We start from the raw sequence: 21,355 nt of genomic DNA on the forward strand, positions 1-21,355 counted from the left end.
AGTGGATTTTATACAACAACTGGTGACAACCAGCTCAGTGGTTGGACTGAGAAGAAGGTCCAAAGCACTTCAAAAAGCCAAACTTGCACCCATAAAAAGACTTGGTCACTGGTTGGTAGTCTGTTGCCTGTCTGACCCACTACAGCTTTCTGAATCCTGGCACAACCACTGTATCTGAGAAGTATGCTCAGCAAATCGATGAGATGCACTGAAAACTGCAATGCCTGCAGCCAGCATTGGTCAACAAAAAGGGCCCAATTCTTCTCCATGACATTGCCTGACTTCACGTTTGCAACTAACGCTTTAAAATTGAACAAATCGGGCTACAAAGTTTTGCCTCATGTGCCATATTCACCTGATCTCTCGCCAAACGATTACCACTTCTTCAAGCATCACAACAACTTTTTGTAGGGAAAATGCTTCTACAATCAACAGGGTGTAGAAAATTCTTTCCAAGATTTCATCAAATCCCAAAGCACGGATATTTATGCTACAGGAATAAACTTATTTCTTGACGGCAAAAATGTGTTGATTATAATGGTTCCTATTTTGATTAATAAAGATGTGTTTGAGCCTAGTTATAATGACTTACAATTCATGATCCAAAACTACAATTACTTTTGTTCCAACCTAATATCTTACTAAGGTTCTCTGCATTTCCTGAATTTGAGTGTAGGCCTCTCTAGCTAGGTTGCGGAAGTTCTCATGGATGAAATATGTTTTCCAAGTTCTTACACTCTCCCCATAGTTTTCAGGGATATCAATAAGTTGTAGATTTGGTCTCTTTACATAATCCCATGTTTCTCAGAGATTCTGTTTATTCCTTTTTATTCTTTTTTCTCTATTCTTGTCTTCGGGTCTTTATTTCAGAAAGCCAGTCTTCAAGCTCTGAGATTCTTTCCTCAGCTTGGTTTATTCTGCTATTAATACTTGTAATTACATTACAATATTCTTGTAGTCTGTTTTTCAGCGCTTCTGTGTTGATTTTCTTCTATACTGGCTATTTTGTCTGTCACCTTCTGTATCATTTTATTGTGATTTTTAGCTTCCTTGGATTAAGTTTTGATGTTCTCTTGCATCTCAGTGATATTTATTCCTATCAATATTTTGAATTCTATTTCTGTCATTTCAGTTATCTCAGCCCAGTTCAGAACCCTTGCTGGAGAGGTAGTACAGTCTTTTGGAGGAAAGAAGGCACTCTGGCTTTTTGAGTTGTTAGAGTTTTTGCACTGGTTCTTTCTCACCTTTATGGGCTGATGTTTCTTAAGTCTTTGAAATTGCTGACTTTTGAATGTGTTTTTATTACTTTATTTGATGACCTTGAGAGTTTGATTGTGGTATACAGTGGGTTCAGTTGATTGGCTTCATTTCTGGAAGATTTTAGGGGGACCAGTGCTCAGCTCCCAACTCTTGGACTGAATTCTGTAACTCTGGGGAACTTGTATCAGGCTCTGACTTTGTTATCTGACTCCTCAAGTTTAGGGATCCACTGCACTGTGTGGGGCTGAGGTGCTTCCAGATTACTGGTCACTACACTCTGATGGGTGGTGCCAGCCAAAGCTTTTGTAGTGCTGTATCAATGAGATCTATTCTTGTTCGCATGTGCCAGTAGCAGCAGCAGCAACAGCTTAGCAGGGTGCACGCTCATCAGCTGCTGCAGGGTGCTAACAGTTGCCAGGCTACCTGCCTACATGTAGGCATTCACAGCAGTGGCAGTGACAGCATGACTCAGGGGGGTGGGGATGCCTGCTGCATCTGTGCACGTGATCATGTTGGTGGTGGTGTCAGCATGGGTGAGGGACACGGAAAGACACAGGTCTGTGTGCACTCTCTGTGCCCCCTCAGGCAGGGGTGATTGCTCAGGGCAAGGGAGGGTCCATTCTTCTCGGTGCCTAGTTTCACTCATGTAGCTGTGTTTGCACTGAGGTAGAGTTCTGGCTGGGTCTGTGACCCCAAAGGCTCTGACTGCAATGGTCTTATGTTAGGTCAACAGGGATGGCATGCATTCCCACCACAGCACTGGCAAGGCAGGGCGCATGCAAGCAGATATATGTTTTGCAAATATTTTCTCCCAATTCATATGCTACCATTTTATTTTGTTGATTGTTTCTTTTGCTGTACAGAAGCTTTTTAGTTTGACACAGTCCTACTTACCTATTTTTCTTTTGTTCTCTGAACTTTTTGTGTCATGTCCAAAAAGTCATTGCAAAGTCCAGTGTCAAGAAGCATTTCCCTTATGTTTTTTTCTAGGAGTTTCAGATCTTACATTTATGTCTTTAATGGATTTTTAATGAATTTTTATATATGGTGTAACATAAGGGTCCAATTTCATTCTTTTGCATGGAGATACCAGTTTTACCAACACCATTTACTGAAAAGACTATCATTTCTTCATTTGGTTTTCTTGGGGCCCTTATCAAAAAGTAGTCAGCTGTATATTTGCTTAGATTTATTTCTAGGTTCTCCATTTTGTTCCCTTAGTCTATGTGTCTATTTTATGCCAGTATCATACTGTTTTGATTACTATAACATTCTAACATAATTTGAAATCAGGAAGTGTGATGCTCCTAACTTTATTCTTTTCTCAAGATTGCTTTGACTATTTGAGGTCTTTTGTGGTTCCATATTAATTATAGGATTCTTTCTATTTTTATGAAAAATGCACCTAATCTGTTCATTATTTTAGGTGGTATGGATATTTTAACAATATTAATTATTCTAATTTATGAACACAAAATATCTTCCCATATATTTGTGTCTTCTTTAATTTCTTTTTATCAGTGTTTTATAGTTATCAGTATATAGGCTTTTTAGCTCCTTGGTTAAACGTATTTCTAAGTATTTTTTTATTTATTGTAAATGGGATTGTTTACTTGATTTCTTTTTAGATAGGTCATTATTGGTGAAAAGAAATGCAATTGATTTTTGTGTGTTGGTTTTGTATCCTGCAACTTTATTGAATTTATTTATCAGTTCTAGTAGTTTTTTTGGAGGATGAGGGGAGGGTTATTTTTGACTGGATGCCAAACATTGTAAATTTTATTTTTTGGATGCTGAATATTTATATATTCTTAAAAATATTTTTGTATTTTATTCTGGGAAATAGTTTGATTCTTTTGAGTACTAATTTTAAAATTCTTTAGGTAGGTCCAGAACAGGGCTTAGTCTGAGGTTGATTGTTCCGTACTGTGAGTCAAGACCTTCCTCATTAGTCTATTCAATGCCCTGTGAATTATTAGTTTACTTTGATTCTTTCAGATGGTTTCCTCCCTGGCTTTGGGTAGTTTTTTGTTTGTTTGTTTTTTGTTTTGTTTTATTTTGTTTTTGCATATATACATTGGTCAGTACTTTGCTGAATACTTGTAGGGGACCATTCACAGATCTCTGATGTTCTTTCTGTATGTAGTTCTCTTCTCTCTGGCATTCTATCAATGCTCTATAGCTGCCTTGATCACCCTAGATTCTCACCTCCATTTCTTCAATTCTGGGAGTCCTCTGAGTTAGGCTTTGTCTTCTTTTTCTATTCCTCCCCCTGAAATTCTTTTAAGGCTGTAGGTTGGGGCACTGAAGGGCTCACCGTTTTTTTTTTTTTTTCAATGTCTCTCAGATATCGCTATCCTTTGTTGTTTTATGTCCAGTGTCTTGGATATCATTCTTTCATCTATTTTTTATGGAATTATTGTTTGTTTCAAGTGGGAAGGGAAATTTGGTTCCTGCTACTTCATCTTGGTTGGATTTATATTTTTTGTTACCTATTTGTACAAATAAATTTTCTTGTTGATGGTGACTCTCAAGATTTTGAATACATCATTATTGAAAAATCTTGACCAAGGATTGTATCTAGCCATTTAAAGCATTAAACTTAATATTGAAAAACTGTATTCATGAAAACAAGCTAATGATTTTCATTAAATATTTTAAAATATTTTATTTGGACATATTATTCACATTAATAATTATTAGCTTCTCTAGTACTTTGCATTTTGTGCTTATAATTACACAAGAAAATGTAATGAATTTTAAAATCAATTCCAATTTAGATTCCCTTAAATCCCTCTAGTTTTCCACAGAGTGCTATACAAATATTATACTTTTTTATTTGTACCATTACATGAAAAATGTTTGGAAGTGTTGACTTTAAAAATCTGATTCCAGCAGCAAGCTGTCTCTCTTGAAAAATGTCTACAGAAATCCAATTTTATATATAATTTGGGGGCACCTTTAGGACTTCCTGAAAAACGATTCATGGGCTTCTTCATTCAAGCCTTTCTGTTCTAGTGAAAGGAGGGACTGCAGGCCAGCCTTCACTAATATTGTCTCTCTCAGCTGAGCATTTGAAAAATATTTATTAGGACTGAATTCAACTTTAAGAGTAAAAATGCATCTTTAGCAAGGGCTGGGTTCTACTGTCAATACTTACAGCTCAAGTCATGTACAGTTAAATTTACTTTTGAAAATCTCTTGATTCTCCTGTAAAGTGAAATATCCATGTTTGTGTATACAATCCTATTTTGTGATTCATAAAGATGCTGAACTTTGAGAACCCCTGAGTTTGAAGGAAAAAAGGGAATTTCTATATATAGATGTTTGGGTTACTATTACTGCCTAAGCTTTTCAGTCTCTAGGTTAAATAGGATAAATAAAGTTGGAAATGTCTAATGTGCACCTGAAGGTACAGGGTTTAGTTGGAATCATTTTAAGTGTAAACATCTATAACCTAAATACATGTAAACAGATTACTTTGTTATCATGAGGATTGAAGTATTGGAATCTTATTTTATGAATATTGGTGGAAGGTGAAAGTGGTTTGTATTCTAAAGTTAGGGTCGGGTTTTTTTTTTTTTTTTTTTTTTGGTATAGAGAGAATTAATTATCCTTAGTAAGCTTAGCAATTTGAGAGCTCCCAATGTCGACTGAAATATCATTGCAAATATCTATAATATTTGATTCACCCCTAAGCATGAAATAAAGCATGACCTCGTAAATTTTGAAAGTCTTTAAAGTTCAATGTTTTTTATATTTTAGGACATAATAAAGTTCAAATGCCTTAAGAGTTAGGTATGTATATGTCTATGTAACTTAAAAGATAAAATGTAAAATCTAACCACATAATTAATATGAGTAAAAGCCACAAACTTTTCTGAGCAGAGGATTCCATAATATGCCCTAAGATACTACTACCTCCTTCTAAAGTTTTGAAATCCCCTTTTACGGGGAATACAATAACGACTTCAGTTCAGTAGTCAGAGGAATAAGAAGACTCTCTCTAATTGTGAGAAAAAGAAGAATTGAATAGCCATAGTTTACTGGGGTCTTCTTTCATAAGAATGCATCTTATAACAGTGGGTTAATTTAGAAATATGCACAAATGATAAAAAAATGTACACGCCTCAAAAGATTTCTTGTTTAGGGATACACATGTATATGCTAAAATATTATGCACAAGAAAATAGGCAATGGCAAGACAAACTAAAAAATATTTGAGTACTGATGGTGCTTGGTTATTTCTGGCCCGAAGCAAAGTGATAGGCTGGGGATGGAACCCATAGATAGAGTCAGTGTAGGTCTCACTATGTTCTACTTTTTGACTTGGGTGATGGGTTTACAGATACTCATTTTTATTACTATGCTTTACAAGTAATATATTCATTACATCCATTCTTTGAAATAGTAAATATTAGATTTAAAATAATAATTAAGGATGTTATAAACTTGAGGAAAAAATTATACTATTAATATTTTTGTGTTAAAATATTATATTATTGATATTTTAAGTAGTTATAAACATGTAAGAGAATATGTCAGAAGCTTGGCAGCCCCTTACTGCTAATGGAAAATGTGTAACTGAGTAATTGATTCAGTATTCTGATGTTCAGAAAGTTTACCAAGTGAATAAACAGTGTTGAGATATTAATATTATTAGATTCAACATATTTATAAACTTAATTCATTATATTTATGAGTTACTTAATTTGATATTTGTGTTTATTAAGTCAGAGAAAAGAACTTTAAGAAGGAAGTAAAAGTCATAAACTCAAGAAATGTATTTAACATGTTTGAAGATGTGTGGCTAAGACTTAATACAACCAAATATTATTCAAAGTACTTAAATAACTGCTGAAATCTGTTAGATTTATAAGTAGATGGTATCATTGGTAATCTAAATTTCTAAGCTTGAGGAAGAATCAGGATTTTTAAAACTTTTTTATTTTAATAAATTTAACAGTAATGTTTAAACTAAAACTAAACTTCCAATCAATGTTTTCTGGGAATAAAATAACATATTCATAACACGTATTCAAAATATATTTAGATAACTTTCCCAGATAAGTGCAGAATCTTGGTCTTTAATAATCATTAAAGCTGGGGTAGGGTTGAAATCATCGTATGACAATGTAGTTACCTGAATAGAAGGACAGAGTAATTTCCTAATGAGAAAGCCACTTTCTGCTAGGAGATGAGTCAATCAATTCTAGCATGCTTAGTCAAACCTTCCTTAAAGTGAGTTTGGGTTCATTGTGATGCAAAGATATACTGTAATCATGGCCTCAAATTTTATAACACAAAGGAAGAATGCAACCTCTTTGTCCTGGGGAAACAATTCAAATTAGCTCTTACAAAATAGCCACCTCCACTTTTAAACCATGAAAATAACATAGACTATTAATGAAGACCAACTCAAAAGTCTACTATTCAAGTCAATGAATTAATGAATAAGTTGCTATCATAAAACTATTAGCCATTACAGTTAAAGGTGAGGTCTTTTCAAAAGGATGACACTGGTTTTAATATACAGCCATGCACTGCATAATGTTTTGGCCAGTGACAGACTGCACAGATGATGGTGGTCCCATAAGATTATTATACCATATAACTTTTTAATATAATATTGTATTTATTATTTTATTGCTACATTAGAAATGAAAATAAACTGTGAGAAGCTGCAAAAATGTGCAACCTCATGAAGATTATGGAGAACGGAGGTGCCCACTGTAGAAGGTTAAAATTGCCTTATCTTGTAGGGGGTACAAGGACTATATACACAAAGGGCATCAATGGTAAGATTATTGACAGCATCTGCCATCTGGAATTTATGCATCAATGGTAAGTTTAAAAGTAAGCTTAAGGACTGGGAGCGGTGGTTCATACCTGTAATCCCAGCACTTTGGGAGGCTGAGGAAGGTGGATCATGCAGTCAGGAGTTCGAAATCAGCCTGGCCAACATGGCAAAACCCCATCTCTACTAAAAATACAAAAATTAGCTGGGTGTGGTGGCGGGCACCTGTAGGCCCAGCTACTTGGGAGGCTGAGGCAGGAGAATCACTTGAACCTGGGAGGCGGAGATTGCAGTGAGCTGATATCGCTCTTGGTGACAGAGCAAGAGTCCGTCTCAAAAAAGAAAACAAAACAAAAAAGTAAGCTTAAGGAAACATTGGCCACTTCTGACCTCTTAGCCAAGGTGTACAGATGAGAAGACAATGGAAAATCTCTAACATTTCTACAAACGCACTGGTTTACAAAACCGAGACTCTCAAATGACGTTGAAATTTGCCCTTGGGAGGAGATCCCATTTTAGAATGTTTGAATATACTCTTTCTCCTGCTGGATAGTTTCCTGTGGCAGAAGAGTATTTTTTTCTTTGTTATTAATTTTCTTCAGTTTTTCCCTGTCAAACTTCCCCACTTTTGACATGTCTGGCTTATAACTCATCTTGACTAAAGAAAGCCTGTTGTTCACTCTGGACTAGATAGCAGCACCATATTCTTACTGTGTTTTTTCTATGTTTAGGTAGACAAATAGTATTGTGTTCCAATTGCCTACTGTATTCAGTGCAGTAACATGCTGTACAGGTTGGTGGCCTAGGAACAATAACCTAGGTTAGTAGAGTATGCCACCTAGGTTTGCATAAGTGCAGTCTATGATTTTCACACAATGACGAAATCATCTAACAACACATTTCTCAGAATGTGTCCACATCATTAAGCAACATGAGACAGTAATTGTTTTGTTTCTGGCTGCTATAAATGACAACATCAGCTGTTGAACAAGGCTGGTCTTGATTGTAATCATAAAAGTAAAATTTGTAAATTTAAAAGAAAAAAGCTTATATTTTCTATAGAAGGAAGATTTACATCCAAAATTGTTATTAAGTAAGTTACAAGTTTAAAGAAATGGGCATAATTTAGGTTTCAGATGGATCCCTTTTGACTCTCAACCCAGGAGCGGAGAAGTTTACAGTAGAGAAAATCTTGGGCTAGCTGTTACTTTGTGTTGCAATTTTCTTAGATTTTCTTGGGTCTTTTACTTAAAGACTTAAGACATTACATAACAATGAGCTTGGAAATAGTGTTTTTCTCTTTAATATATAATTCTCTTATGCACATACTTAGTTTGCAGTTGTGGAGTCTATAATTCAGCTCTGCAATGACATTGGTGGGAGTATTAAGTAATGAGTGCAGAGAATTGTACAAATGTAATACAACTATTAACTTTCATCCTGAAACTTCAGATCTTTTATAAATTACATTGTCATCACTAGTCACCTACGAAGTTAAAAGACCTGTTCTACAGTAAGAGACAAAGAATTGAAGAGACTTGCTGAAGGTCACCGAAGACTGAGGTTTTTATCACTTAAGAGGCCAGAATTTATAAGATTTGAACATGGATGCCTACTTTGAACTCAAAGGAAGAATGGTTTACTCTTTGGGAAGAATCTGGAGATCAATTCCTGAATGTAGGGATGACTTCTATTTAGTCATGGGATGAGGATAGAATGTAAACATATGTTTAAGCATGAAATGGATTGGGGTTACCTTAAGAGCCAGGTATTATGCTACTTAGGAGACACAAAACTATATGATGAGTCAGGCTATAGTGTGTATTTGGAAGATAGAGGGAGTGGTTGACAGAGAGAGAGAGAGAGAATGAGAGACAGACAAAGAGACATATAAAGAGAATGAGAAAATAATATTCTCTATAATTATGCCAAATTATTGACATATTTTCTTAAAAAAAAATTCACAGATCACAGTTATAGAAAAATGCATTGCTGTATTTTTATCCAAGTGTTCATTATATAAGGATAGAAAACTGTTCATTTAATTATATGAATAGCACTTAACGTCATGTAATCTTGTTTGAAGACTTATTTATTTGATCTCCTTTAGACAAAGTGACAATTCGATTTTCTTTAGCTTTGTTAGAAAACCCTTCATCTTCTAATTATATCTTTTGGTGCATGAGTAGACACAGAGCAATAGATAACACACTGACAACTTGCAGACCTAAGGGTGAATATCTATTATCACAACTCCTAGAGTTTAGACCAAACATTAGTGAAATTGATGTGTTTTTCTAGAGATGAAGTAGCAGAAAAGACTTTTTAGAAGAAAGGACTTGTCTTCTAAAATATAGGCAGCTGTTGAAAGTATTTAGACTAAAATTAATTAAAACAAATGCATAATAAAATAAAATAAGCAATAGAAATATGCTCCTCATGAAGGATAAAGTTCCTAGCTTTGTATGTGAGCAAAATGTACCGTCTTGAAAATTTTTCTAGGAGAAATGAGAGCTAAATTTTCAGCTCTGGCAGAGAATTTTAATTATCAGAGCAAGCTGAAGATTTAATGGATATACCTCTAGAATGTGAGTAAAATAAATCATGTTCCCCAATGACCGATTTCAACTTAATTTTCTGCTAGAAGTGAATAGTCCTGAAATTCTGATTACTCTTATTTTAGTGATGTCCAGTGTCCCTGCATTAATTTAGGGGTATCAGTCATTATTGTATTCAAAACAACAAATACAACTTAATGCAATGAATCACCGAGAATGACATAATTTATAGTGAATATCAAGATCTGCATCAAGGTTTGCTCAAACAATAAAGATTCATGACTGTGAAATATAAACTGTGGATAATAAATTTGTAACTTGAGGAAATTTTCATATAATGCTGTGGGAAAAGGTATATCAAACATTAAAAAATGAGTGTATGCTGGTGTTCTTAAATAAGGGGAGAAATCAAAAATCCTTTATTTCTTCGTAAAACAAAGAACTTTTATCATACAGTGCCTGTGACCTTAACCTCAAGAAAGAAATGAACATTACCTTCCTCTGCTTCCCATCCCTGCAATCAGCTTTTTTTTTTTCTGCCAAGGATAAAATCTGTTGTCAAATTACCCTATTGTCCTGAACAGTGGACAAATAATAGAAAAGCTTTGAACTCATAAAACATGTTTCATCCACAAAGTACAAAACACTTCAAAAAAGAATAACTCATACATTCACATAATCACCAAATCCCCTCTTGCTGGGGTGGTGATGGGGGTAGGGTAAAAGTTATAATTATGTGTTCTACTGTATCCAGGGAAAAATTAAACTTAGAAAAGTAAATATTCTCAGATAAGGAAGGATTGAAAATATCAATCCTTCAACAGGACTCAAAGCTTATTAAACTCAGTGATGGGCAAGTGGTTGAATGTGGATTTGGAAGAAATGGGAGTACACTAGGATTGGGACTGGGTGAGAGAGGAGCCTCAGATGACTCTGAAGATTGCACAAATGCCTCATTTCAGTTGTGCACTGGAGATGCTTCTTGGCCTCATCTTAGCACCAGCAATCCTACTGCTAGGGCAGTAGTCCTGCCTGATGTAGCACTGCTGACTAACCTTGGATATGTGCTTCTCTTTCTCTCTCTCTCTCCCTCCCTCCCTTTCTCTCTCTACAGTGTGTGTGTGTGTGTGTGTGTGTGTGTTGGTGTGTGTGTTTGTGTGTGTGTTTAGGGGTGGGTAGTGGTAGTGGTGATGTTGGATTTGATTGGGTCCAGACCAGGAGGAAATCCTGGCATATGGTAGGCATTGGCCAGGGGTGCCAAATGTCTGGGCCGCATCAGCAGTCACCGTGCACCTGCAGCCTTCCAGGCGCTCTGCTAAGCACAGGGCTTACTGTATCTCCTTTAGTCCTTACACACCCTTTAAATATGTATTATATAACAGAAGAACTTTGCGGAGGCCATATGTATTTCAGGATCAGGGTCTATGATTTGAACTCAGTTCAGTGTGACTCCAAAGGCAGTGCTCTCCATTCCGTGGTGGGATTTGTCCATCTCATTTGGTAACTCAGAGAGTTCTGATCCACAGCACTAGGTCTATTCTAAGACAAGGCAGTCTCATCCATCTGGCAATGGAAGAGAAAATTTAGTATCTTATGACCCCGAAGTCATGATTCAGAAAACTATAGTTTAGATACTAAACATGAATAGGTCATTGTGACTATTTTATTGTGATGATATTCAAATATATGACATTTTCTTTAGTGTTTTTTGCTTTTTTAATGGAATTATAGGGAACTCTATTTGTTCCTTACTCAATAAGCATTACAACCTTTTTTTCTTTCTAGTAGAATTTCAATTTTATTTAGGTATCAACCCTTTTCCAGTCAACCTCTTTGACTCAGAGGATGCTAAATCCAAGCTTAACTTCAGATGTGGTTTCTGATTGATTTACTGGTGGTAGTCCCATCACCACTAGCAACAATTGGTCCAGGAACCCAAACTTGAGCTAATCATTTAATTACAACTACATTGTATTCTTAGTCCAGGCATAGGTACTGATGATGTAAATTGGCCCAGTTCGTTTGAAATGAAGAACTTCAATTGCATAATTGTGGAAGTCTCTCTTTTCATTCTCTGGATGCTGCTATAGTTGTCACTGGCCTCTATCCAACAATCTAAAATGAACACAAAATTTCAGTTCAACAGAAGAAACAAGTCCAAGAGCCCTATTGTACATCGTGATGACTATGGTTAATAACGATATATTGTATGCTTAAAAACTGGTGAGTAGATTTTAAGTATTCTCACCACACAAAACATGACAGGTGTGTGAGGTAATGCACATGTTAAATAGCTTGATTTAGCGATTCAACAATGTATACATATATCAAAGCACCATATTGGATACCATAAATATATGTAATATACAATATATTGTACACCATAAATATATATTTTATATATTTATACAAATACATATTCAGCACTGTATACATATAACAAAGCATCATATTGTATACCATAAATATATATAAATATTATATATAATATAAATAAACATATATAAAATATATATAATATAAATAAACATATATATCATATAAAATATTATATATAATATAAACATATACATTATATATAAATATTATATGTAATATAAACATATACATTATATATAAATATTGTATATAATATAAACATATACATTATATATAAATATTATATATAATATAAGTAAACATATATATTATATATAATGCTTTGATGATGCATACATTGTTGCTTTGATATATGTATACAATGTTGAATCATTAAATCAAGCTATTTAACATGTGCATTACCTCACACACCTGTCATGTTTTTGTGTGGTGAGAACACTTAAAATCTACTCAACAGTCTTCAAGAATATATATTATATATAATATATACTATATTATATATAGTATTAATTATATATAATCATATATACTATATTATATATAGTATTAATTATATATAATCATATATAATATATTATATATAGTATTAATTATATATAATTATATATAATATATATATTTATATATAATTATATATTATATATATCATATATAATATATAATTATATATAAATATATATAATATATATAATATATATGATTATATATTATATATTATGTATATTTTATAATACATTATATATTATATATTATATAATATATAATATATTCAGCATCCAGAGAATGAAAATACATTTTATAATATATTATATATAATTATGTATAAATAATTATATTTTTATATAATATATAATTGATATATGTTAAATATATATATTATATATTATATATACTTATCTATATATAAATATTTATATAATATATAATAAATATATATTTTATATAAATATAATATATATAATTATGCAGTTGAAGTTCTTCCTTTCAAATGAACTGGGCCAATTTACATCAGTACCATGCCTGGACTAAGAATACAATGTAGTTCTAATTAACTAATTAGCTCATGTTTGGGTTCCTGGACCAATTGTTGCTGGTGATGATGGCACTACCACCAGTAAATCAGTCAGAAACCATATCTGAAGTTAAGCTTGGATTTAGCATCCTCTGAGTCAATATATATATATAATATATATATATTTTTTCTACTTGTCAATTAAAAAAACCAAACCTAGATGATGTAGTGAAAGGCAGGTCAGGGAGAGGAAAACAACCTGGGCTTTTTATAGTCTCTCTGAGTCACTGAATCAGCAAAATCTCAACTTTCTGTTTTTTTATGAGAAAATAAATGTGTTTACTGTCTAAATCAATTTAAGTCTGAGTTTACTTTTACTTTCAGGAATGAGCTTCCAAGCTGATGAGAGAATCTTTCATTTTTTTTCTTCAAAATATGAATGCCAATATTATCTGGTTAATCATAACATTAGTTGGAATTTGGAATGTAACCATTTTAAAAGCATAAATGTAAATATTTATGTAGACTTTTTACATACATTTATGTATAAATATGTACATGTTATATAGAAATATACATAATATACATGGCAGTTAATTATGTTTCTACATTCATTTTTGTATAGGTAGGGCATATGTTATTAATATTTTATATTTTAAGCTCTTAGAATATAGAAACTATAGTTCTAATTATTTTTTCTCTAAGATTCCCACTATAATCTTTTTGGTGATAACTAATGCATTCTGAAATAGAGGGTCTCAATTAGCCATTCTGACAATCTATCCAGTTCTCAGGAGTCAATAATCTGAGTTTAGACTGAATGTTACAAAATATGAATGAGAAGAATAAATTATAAATTTTGAGGTTAAGTCTAAGTCATGTTCTAGTAGAAGGTACAAAACCAAAAGCAAAGGGGAAGAAATGCAATGTGTTTGAAAATCAGTGAGGGTTCTTTTTGTCTTTGACTTGCCTTAAATTCCTTGTTTGAATTATGATAAAATCCTGTGGGTTTGATCTGGTCATCTCAACTTCCTGTCCAACAGCACTTTCTGCTTATCCCAAAGAAATATTCAAAAGGGAAGCAGGAGGTTTCTAAGGCAAAAACCAAAATGTGTTTCAGTTTCCTTGTGTAGTTTGAAGCACTGAAATCATGTAAATGTATTCAGAAGATCTTTTTTGATAATTTAGAGACCATGCTTTGTAAATGATAAGCAATACTTTTTAAAACATATTTAAAAACATTTCAAACCAAATCTACATAAATAAAAGGCTATTAGTTACCTGGCAAAAAAGGCCCCTCACCATTTGCCAAAAATTACTTTAATATTTGTGGAGCCCCTGATGCCTCAAGAATCAGGATTCCAAAGTTTCATAATGGCTGTACTAAGGCAGAATCACTTTCAACTTAGGGAATTCTAAAAATTAAGAGCCTGGAGCCACTTAGGAGTTCCTAAATATAGAGTTTGAAAAGGACTAGAATTTAATAATGTCCATGAATTAGACGAGTTTGTTGCACGATGGATAAGGAGGATGTCATACATGTGTATAGCATAGGTAGATACACTACCAAGCCATGGGGTAGTTTTGATATTATAGCAATTGGTGAACTCCAGGGAACATTTTCAAAAAATCCTACTATATTAAAAGTGGACTTAAATTACTACATTAACTTCCTCACTCCACCTTATACAATGTATTACTTTTCATTTCTGCATCATATGGATTCATGGTGGAAACAAAATTTGATGCAGCAATGCCCTTAAGGCAGACAATCAAATTAAAATGAAACTGGAGGATAGGTCTAAGCACCCACTAGCAAAAAGGTCTTAATAATTTGCTGTTACCACTCTGGAAAACAATTACTTTACCAGCTGACTAGTTATTTTAAGTAGGAAAAGTCCAGTTTAATGTTTTAAAAATTGAACAATGGCAATACATTTGCAATACATAATATTAATGATAGGTATATTCATCCTGCTTTCCCCTAGATGTAGCCATATTAAATGAAATTCCTCCTATATAACTGTAAATTTTAATTTCTTACCAAGCCAAGCATGAAAAATTATTTCAGGTGGTTATTAGAAATATGTAGGGGCTCTTAGAATTGCTCAACTAAAGTACCAGTTGGCATTTATTACTGCTCTTGTTACAGAATTTTGTTATATTTCTGACATTTATCCCACCATTTATTTGTGAGTGGTAAGAAATTAATATATCTAAATGTTAGGTCTTGTGGTAAGATGTATTTATAATTTCATTATTTGAGGTGGAACAAAACACTAATTTGGAGTTTGGAGAGCTTTGGAATATCAGAAAAACTTGCAAATCTGTATTTTTCTTATCTCTAGAAAATAATGAAAGGTCTTCATTGTGATATAACCTGTTTGAGAGTAATGAAGTGATGTATTTGAAAACAATTTTTAAAAGTGCAATGTGCTATATACTATTGTGAGATTTTATTTACATACTTGAGAACTAGCATGGTCTATCAGTTTGAATGCTTTCAGCTGCAAGTAATAGAACCTGCAGTTTCAAATGGCTTAAACATAAGGATATTTAGTATCTTAATTAACAACAAGTCCATGAGTAGGGTAGCTACAGGGTTTGCTAACTCAGCAGTTAAATGGCATGGTCATGGATCCACTGAAAATGTACTTTCCTTTTATAGAATCTTCCTATTCTTAACTGGCCAGCCAACTTGCCTCGTGATCAAATACGGCTACATCTTTCTAGGAGTTTGATGCCTTATACAAGACTTTCCTTGAGTCTCTTTGAAGAATCTATGAAGCCATTCCCTGAAATCTTTATCTCCTTGCCAACAGAATTCTCTTCATGTATGCCCCCTTCTTAAGTTAACCATTGTTAAGAAACACTGGATTTAAATGGTTGGTTTAGGCTCGCGGGTCCCTCCTTTCTTCCCCTCTGGCCCAGGACTGGGAATCGGGAGTCAGCCTTTACTGACTGTGCACAGCAGTACTGAGACCCAGGCTGGGGCAAGGAAGAAGGAGAGGTACTGACCCTTGTGTACAGACCAACAAATGTTGCTAAAAATGGCCTTAGATACAATCAGTTCTGTGTATGTTAGGGTGCTTTATATTTTTAGCACAACAAAGCTCTATGTAAATTAGCTTGATTAACAAAGGAGTTTTATTAGCTTAATAACTGAAAAGTGCAGAGTTCCAACTGATATCAGGCATAATTATATGCAGATGTTGAGGTGGTACTCTCACGGTTTCAGTCCCTTTTTGTATCAGCCTCTGGATTGTGTCCCATTCTGTAGACTGGCTTCATCGTTGTCTTCAGTCTGGCTTTTCAGCAGCAACATTGACTGCAGTTGTTTCAATTTTACACCCTTATACCACGTTATCTAGAGGAAAAGAGAACTTCTAGTCATTGTAGAAAAGAGAAGTTTAGATCCCAGGAACTCTAGCAAATGTCTTCTCATGGCCCACTGGTTCTAACTGGGGTCTGTACTCATTCTTAAACCAATAGCTGTGACTAGGGGGTGAAATCTGCTCATTGGTCTAACTTGGCAAGGGCCCAACCCTGGAGTTTAGGCAGGGTCTGTAATATCTAGACCTCAACACAGATCATGGGGTTGGTTGGTTCGTTGGTTGGTTCCTCAATCACAAGGAGACAAGGGAAATGGATGACAGGGAGGCTGTCAGAATATGTCCAATGTGTAGTTAAATTACAGATAGCAAAGTTGACACACATAGACATCAAAATGGCCTGTACCAGCACATGTTGATTATATACAGTGCCAGAATGTAGGACTTCTAACTCTCAAGGAGGTGCTTCTTCCACTATGCCACAATTTTTTCCCTTTATCCTTGAATATTGTCTCTCATCATAGTCTGTTTATTTGTTTACTTATTTATTACAGTCTTTATGAACAGTTCTATTGGAGACAATTTTCCATATTTGCACATTACATATATTTTCTTAGAGCTGAAAGAGTTTTGGCTCCCCATAAATTGAGTTTTCCAGACATAAACATCGTTTCAAATCTGCTTTGTGCAGAATGTGCTTGTGGTATTCTTCTTAATTTGATGTACTTTAGGAAATATAAAAGAAAGTTATGGTTTAACTCTTTTCCTATTGAAATAAACCCCTTCAAGACTCCCAACTATAAAAAGAGTATATATATTTTATTATATTCACAAATGCCTTTATGAATGAAGCTACAGTTAATAATCTCAAATTAATGCTTGTACATTGGTTTATAAAAATGATTATCATAATTTACAATCTGTTTGACATTTATTTTACATTGCAGCTATAAGGTATATTCTGTTGCCTGACAGCTTGACTTGTAGAGGAAGACATTACATGTGAAGAAAATCTCATTTGGCTTCTTCCTTTGGTCTTAACTATTTGCTTGGAAAACCCATGGGTAAATATCTAGCTATGATTCAGTTCAGACCAGCAGTTCTGTCATTTAAAATAAAGTTCTACAGTGGGTTTGAGAGAAAATTCAGCACACTGAAGAGTGTTACTTATCACAGTAAGGACAGTGTGACTTTATTACTTAATAAGTGAATACAACAGCTGGATTTTGGACTTGGCATATTTGGAGTAAACTAGATATTATGACAAGCCTGTGAATCTTTGTCAGGGGAACCTGGATTTTGGTCTCAGCGAGCTACCAGTACACTTTGAGGCCACAGGCAAGTAGCTCATTTGTCACATAAAGAGATGGCAAGGGACTGCTGGTTGTCACATACTTTTCATAGCATAAACTTTTAAACAAAGACAACTTTACGTGGAAGCCATTGCATAAACAAATGCAAAAATGTTCCAGTTGAATCAATGGAAGGCTCAAAACTCGGCCAGAACCCTGTTTCACTTTTCTGCCTTCCTCCTCTTCCTTCAGCTGCAACTGAAGTGTCTCAGCAGAACCCAGGACTCCACAAACTGGATTTTTCAAATTGCAGAAATAGGTGATTTATTTTAGAAACATTATTTGAGCATCTACCATGTGCCACTAAGTGGAGATGCAACAGTGAGAAAATAAACCAAAACAAAGTTGCAGCTCTCCTGGAGCTTATATTCTGGCAGGAAATGACCAAAAAGGCAAATAAATAAGCAAACAAGATAATTTTGAAAAGTGATGAATAGGGTGCCACGATGGCATTTTTGGTGAGTCTGGGGACTTCACTGTCCAATGAGGGCAGACAGGAAGGTATCACTTAGTAGGTGACTTTCAAGCTGGCTCCTAAAAGATCTAGAGGGAGGAACAAGCTGGCTTGTTCCAGGAATAGAAGAAAGGCCAATGTGGCTGGAGTGTGAGGAGGGGGATATGCAAAGACCATGTCAACTCCAGGCTTTACATCATGTTGAAGTTTGAATTCCATAATAAAAAAAAATGAGAAACAATTTGATTATTCCAAAGAGGAAATGATAAGTTCTGATAGTCATTAAAATGCTTCCTCTGGTTGCTGATTGGAGGATGGAAAGAGAAACCAGTTAAGAGAGTTTCCCGGGGGTCCAGTAAGAGCTGATCCTGATTTGCACAAGGGTGATGACAGTGTAGATGCAAAGCAAAGGGGGAAAAATAAAGTATATTGTGTAAATTGATTCAACAGGACTTCCTGATGGACTAAATATGTGGAATGAGGGATTAAAGAGGAAACATAGTTTTATATTTGAGACACTGGGTAAATGGGGTGACTTTACTGAAATCACTGGGGTTTAGGGAGAAAGAGGCTACAGTCATGGAAATAAAAAGTTTTGTTTAAGATTTATAAAGTTCGAGTTACCTTTTAGACAGCTAATTGGAGATGTCAAGTGGGCAATTTGATATATAAATCAGTGGAAAGTTCAGGGTGATATAAATTTTGGAGTCATTGACATGCAGATGATATTTAACGCAAATGGAGGGGATGAGATCACCTAGGGAGAAGGAGTGGAGATAGAGAAAAGGAGAGTGCTGAGGCCTGAGATGTAAGACATTTTAACATTTAGACCTTTCTAAGAAAATCTCTCAGGTCTTTCTTAGTGCAAAAATATCTAATTATAATTGTAAGAAATGTTAAATCTCCTTTACTGTATTTATTAAGCTCTTTTCACCTGCAACATTCTGTTATTGCCTCAGACTTCATTTCTCTGTCTTTTGCTTCTCTCTTTCCTCTTAATTGGAAATATGTGAAAGTCACTGCTTAGCATGACATCATAGATCTATTTGTTACATATATTGTGATAGTAAGTTGGCATCTTCTTTTGTTGAAGTTATGGGCTAGTGGCTCTTAGTTATGGGACTAAATGGCTTCCAGCTACTGGCTGTCAAACATTTACATGACTGTTGATTTGCGGCCCATGGAGAACTCACCAGCAACCAGGACTCATCTTGGATACTGGAAACAACAGAATAAGTCCAGTTTGGATAGTCACTTCTGAGGAGTCAACACTCAAAATCTTGCCTCCATTTTCTGTGCCAGCTGAGAGGTCCATTGGTGAGTATTTTATCCACTAATGGGGAAGCAGGTGGGTAGCCTACTGGGCAGAAATAAATTTTACCTCTGTGTGCCAAGGTGGGTGGGCTAATTCATAACCTACGGTAGGCTGGGCTATCCATTGTCAAAAAGACATGATATTCTATGAAGATTCTTACTCATGGCTTTCAGGCTTGTTCAGTTGAAAAGAGTATCCTAAGCACAAACCATTGTAAACAGAAATTGCCTATGCTGAAACTCACCCAAATCCAAAGATTTCCCTCACAGCACTTTTTTTTTTTTTTTTTTTTTTTTTTTTTTTTTTTTTGAGACAGAGTCTCACTCTATTGCCCAGGCTGGAGTGCAGTGGTGCAATCTTGGCTCACTGCAGCTTCTGCCTCCTGGGTTCAAGCGATTGTCCTGCCTCAGCCTCTTGAGTAGCTGGGATTACAGGTGTCCACTACTGCGACTGGCTAATTTTTGTATTTTTAGTAGAGACAGGGTTTCACCATGTTGAGCAGGCTGGTCTCGATCTCCTGACCTCAAGTGATCTGCCCGCCTGGGCCTCCCAATTTGCTGGGATTACAGGCGTGAGCTACTGCACCCGGCCAGCACTTTCAATTAATTAGAAAATTCTGAGGATTCTACTTTTAAGGTCTGTTTCAACTCTCACGGTATCTTCTCTTTTCCATGGCCATTACTCCTATCTATCCACTGTGATGTTTCCTCAGTACTAGTCATCTGTTGTTTACTGTATTGGTTAGCTATTACCACAGTAATACTGTGCAACAAACTATCTCAAATATCAGTGGCTTACAACAACAAATATTTATTCTTAGGCAGGTGAGTGGTTAGAGCCTGTCATTTCTGATGATTGATGGTTCCACCATCTATTTGTATCCTTTATTTGTAATGGTCCTCTGATGCCCTGGGTTAATACACCATTCTACTTTTTTCAGACCCACAGGTCATTTGGTTTGACAACATTTCTCATCTCCTTGATTATGGGGATTAGTTCAGAGATGGCCATGCATGCTGTGTAATGAATCTTAGGCCTGGGTTGTGATTAGCAGAAGAGAATCCTCCCTTCCCTCAGACAATGTGGGGAGATGCGGCATGTGCCCGGAAGAAGTGCACATTGTATTTTCAAATGAGGGGAAGTTTGGACCTGCTGGGTGACCCCTTGTGAAGTCTAAAGAAGTAACTGGCAGACAGGAAGGCAGAGAGGAGAGACAGAAAGAGCAGCTTCCTAATGGCATCATTTGTTTAAACCTTGCCTGAAACCAACAGTAGTTCTGAAGTTTTTGGTTAGAGAAGCCATACATTTATTTATTATTTAAGCCAGTTTGCACTGGGTTTTCTCTCCCTTGAAATTGAAAATATCCTGACTGATAGAAGACCTTAGATCACAGCATCATCTGCATTTGAGGGAATGCCAGCCCTGCCCTGCAGATAGAGACACTTAAGGGCAGAAGGGAAACAAATGTTCATTAAGTCCTGGTGCTATGAGCAACTTTCCATACATCACGTCATTTAATCCTCAGGCAATCCTCTGAGGTAAGGATTGTGCTGCCTAGATTTAAAGCAGTGGAATTGAGGTTCAGAGACTTTAGGGGATTTCCTAAACTTGACTCTCTCACTCTATTTCAGTGCTGTGTGAGGTGACAGAGAAAGCTGCATGTGGAAATGGTGCTGCAATTTATAATGCCTGCATTTTAGCCTTTGACTAATCAGTGCCTCATGTTATCCTCATTTTTGTCTCCACCTTTCCTATTGATTTCTCACTTTAATACATCTAAGCTTCAGTGTATATGCTGCCATATTATTACTGGTCCTTGTAGCCATCCTGACAAGAATGCAGACATACTGCTTGATACTTAATGTTCCAGCATAAACGTATCCACATTCTTGTTGA

General features: G+C 35.0%; 1 protein-coding gene across 1 annotated transcript, besides 1 other annotated feature; it reads right to left on the reverse strand.

The window, feature by feature from the left end:
- Positions 1,276–1,777: an enhancer, noted in NCBI's record as "H3K4me1 hESC enhancer chr5:116348941-116349442 (GRCh37/hg19 assembly coordinates)". NCBI's record gives its function as "activates a minimal SCP1, AML or CMV promoter by ChIP-STARR-seq in naive H9 embryonic stem cells {active_cell/tissue: H9 hESC(naive)}" and the evidence as "EXISTENCE:reporter gene assay evidence [ECO:0000049][PMID:30033119]".
- Positions 7,573–7,710, reverse strand: LOC107986375 (thymosin beta-15A-like). The gene has a single exon (XM_047418000.1). The coding sequence runs from the start codon at positions 7,708–7,710 to the stop codon at positions 7,573–7,575; it is 138 nt and encodes a 45-aa protein (XP_047273956.1).
- Positions 7,711–21,355: the final 13,645 nt, after the last annotated feature.

Source organism: Homo sapiens, chromosome 5, assembly GCF_000001405.40.
Source record: "Homo sapiens chromosome 5, GRCh38.p14 Primary Assembly".
In the NCBI taxonomy this organism is placed as follows: Eukaryota; Metazoa; Chordata; class Mammalia; order Primates; family Hominidae; genus Homo; species Homo sapiens.

What these genes read in the sequence shown, in the direction of transcription:
- LOC107986375 (XM_047418000.1), bottom strand. Translation starts at nt 7,710, where the DNA reads ATGAGTTATAAGCCAGACATGTCAAAAGTGGGGAAGTTTGACAGGGAA.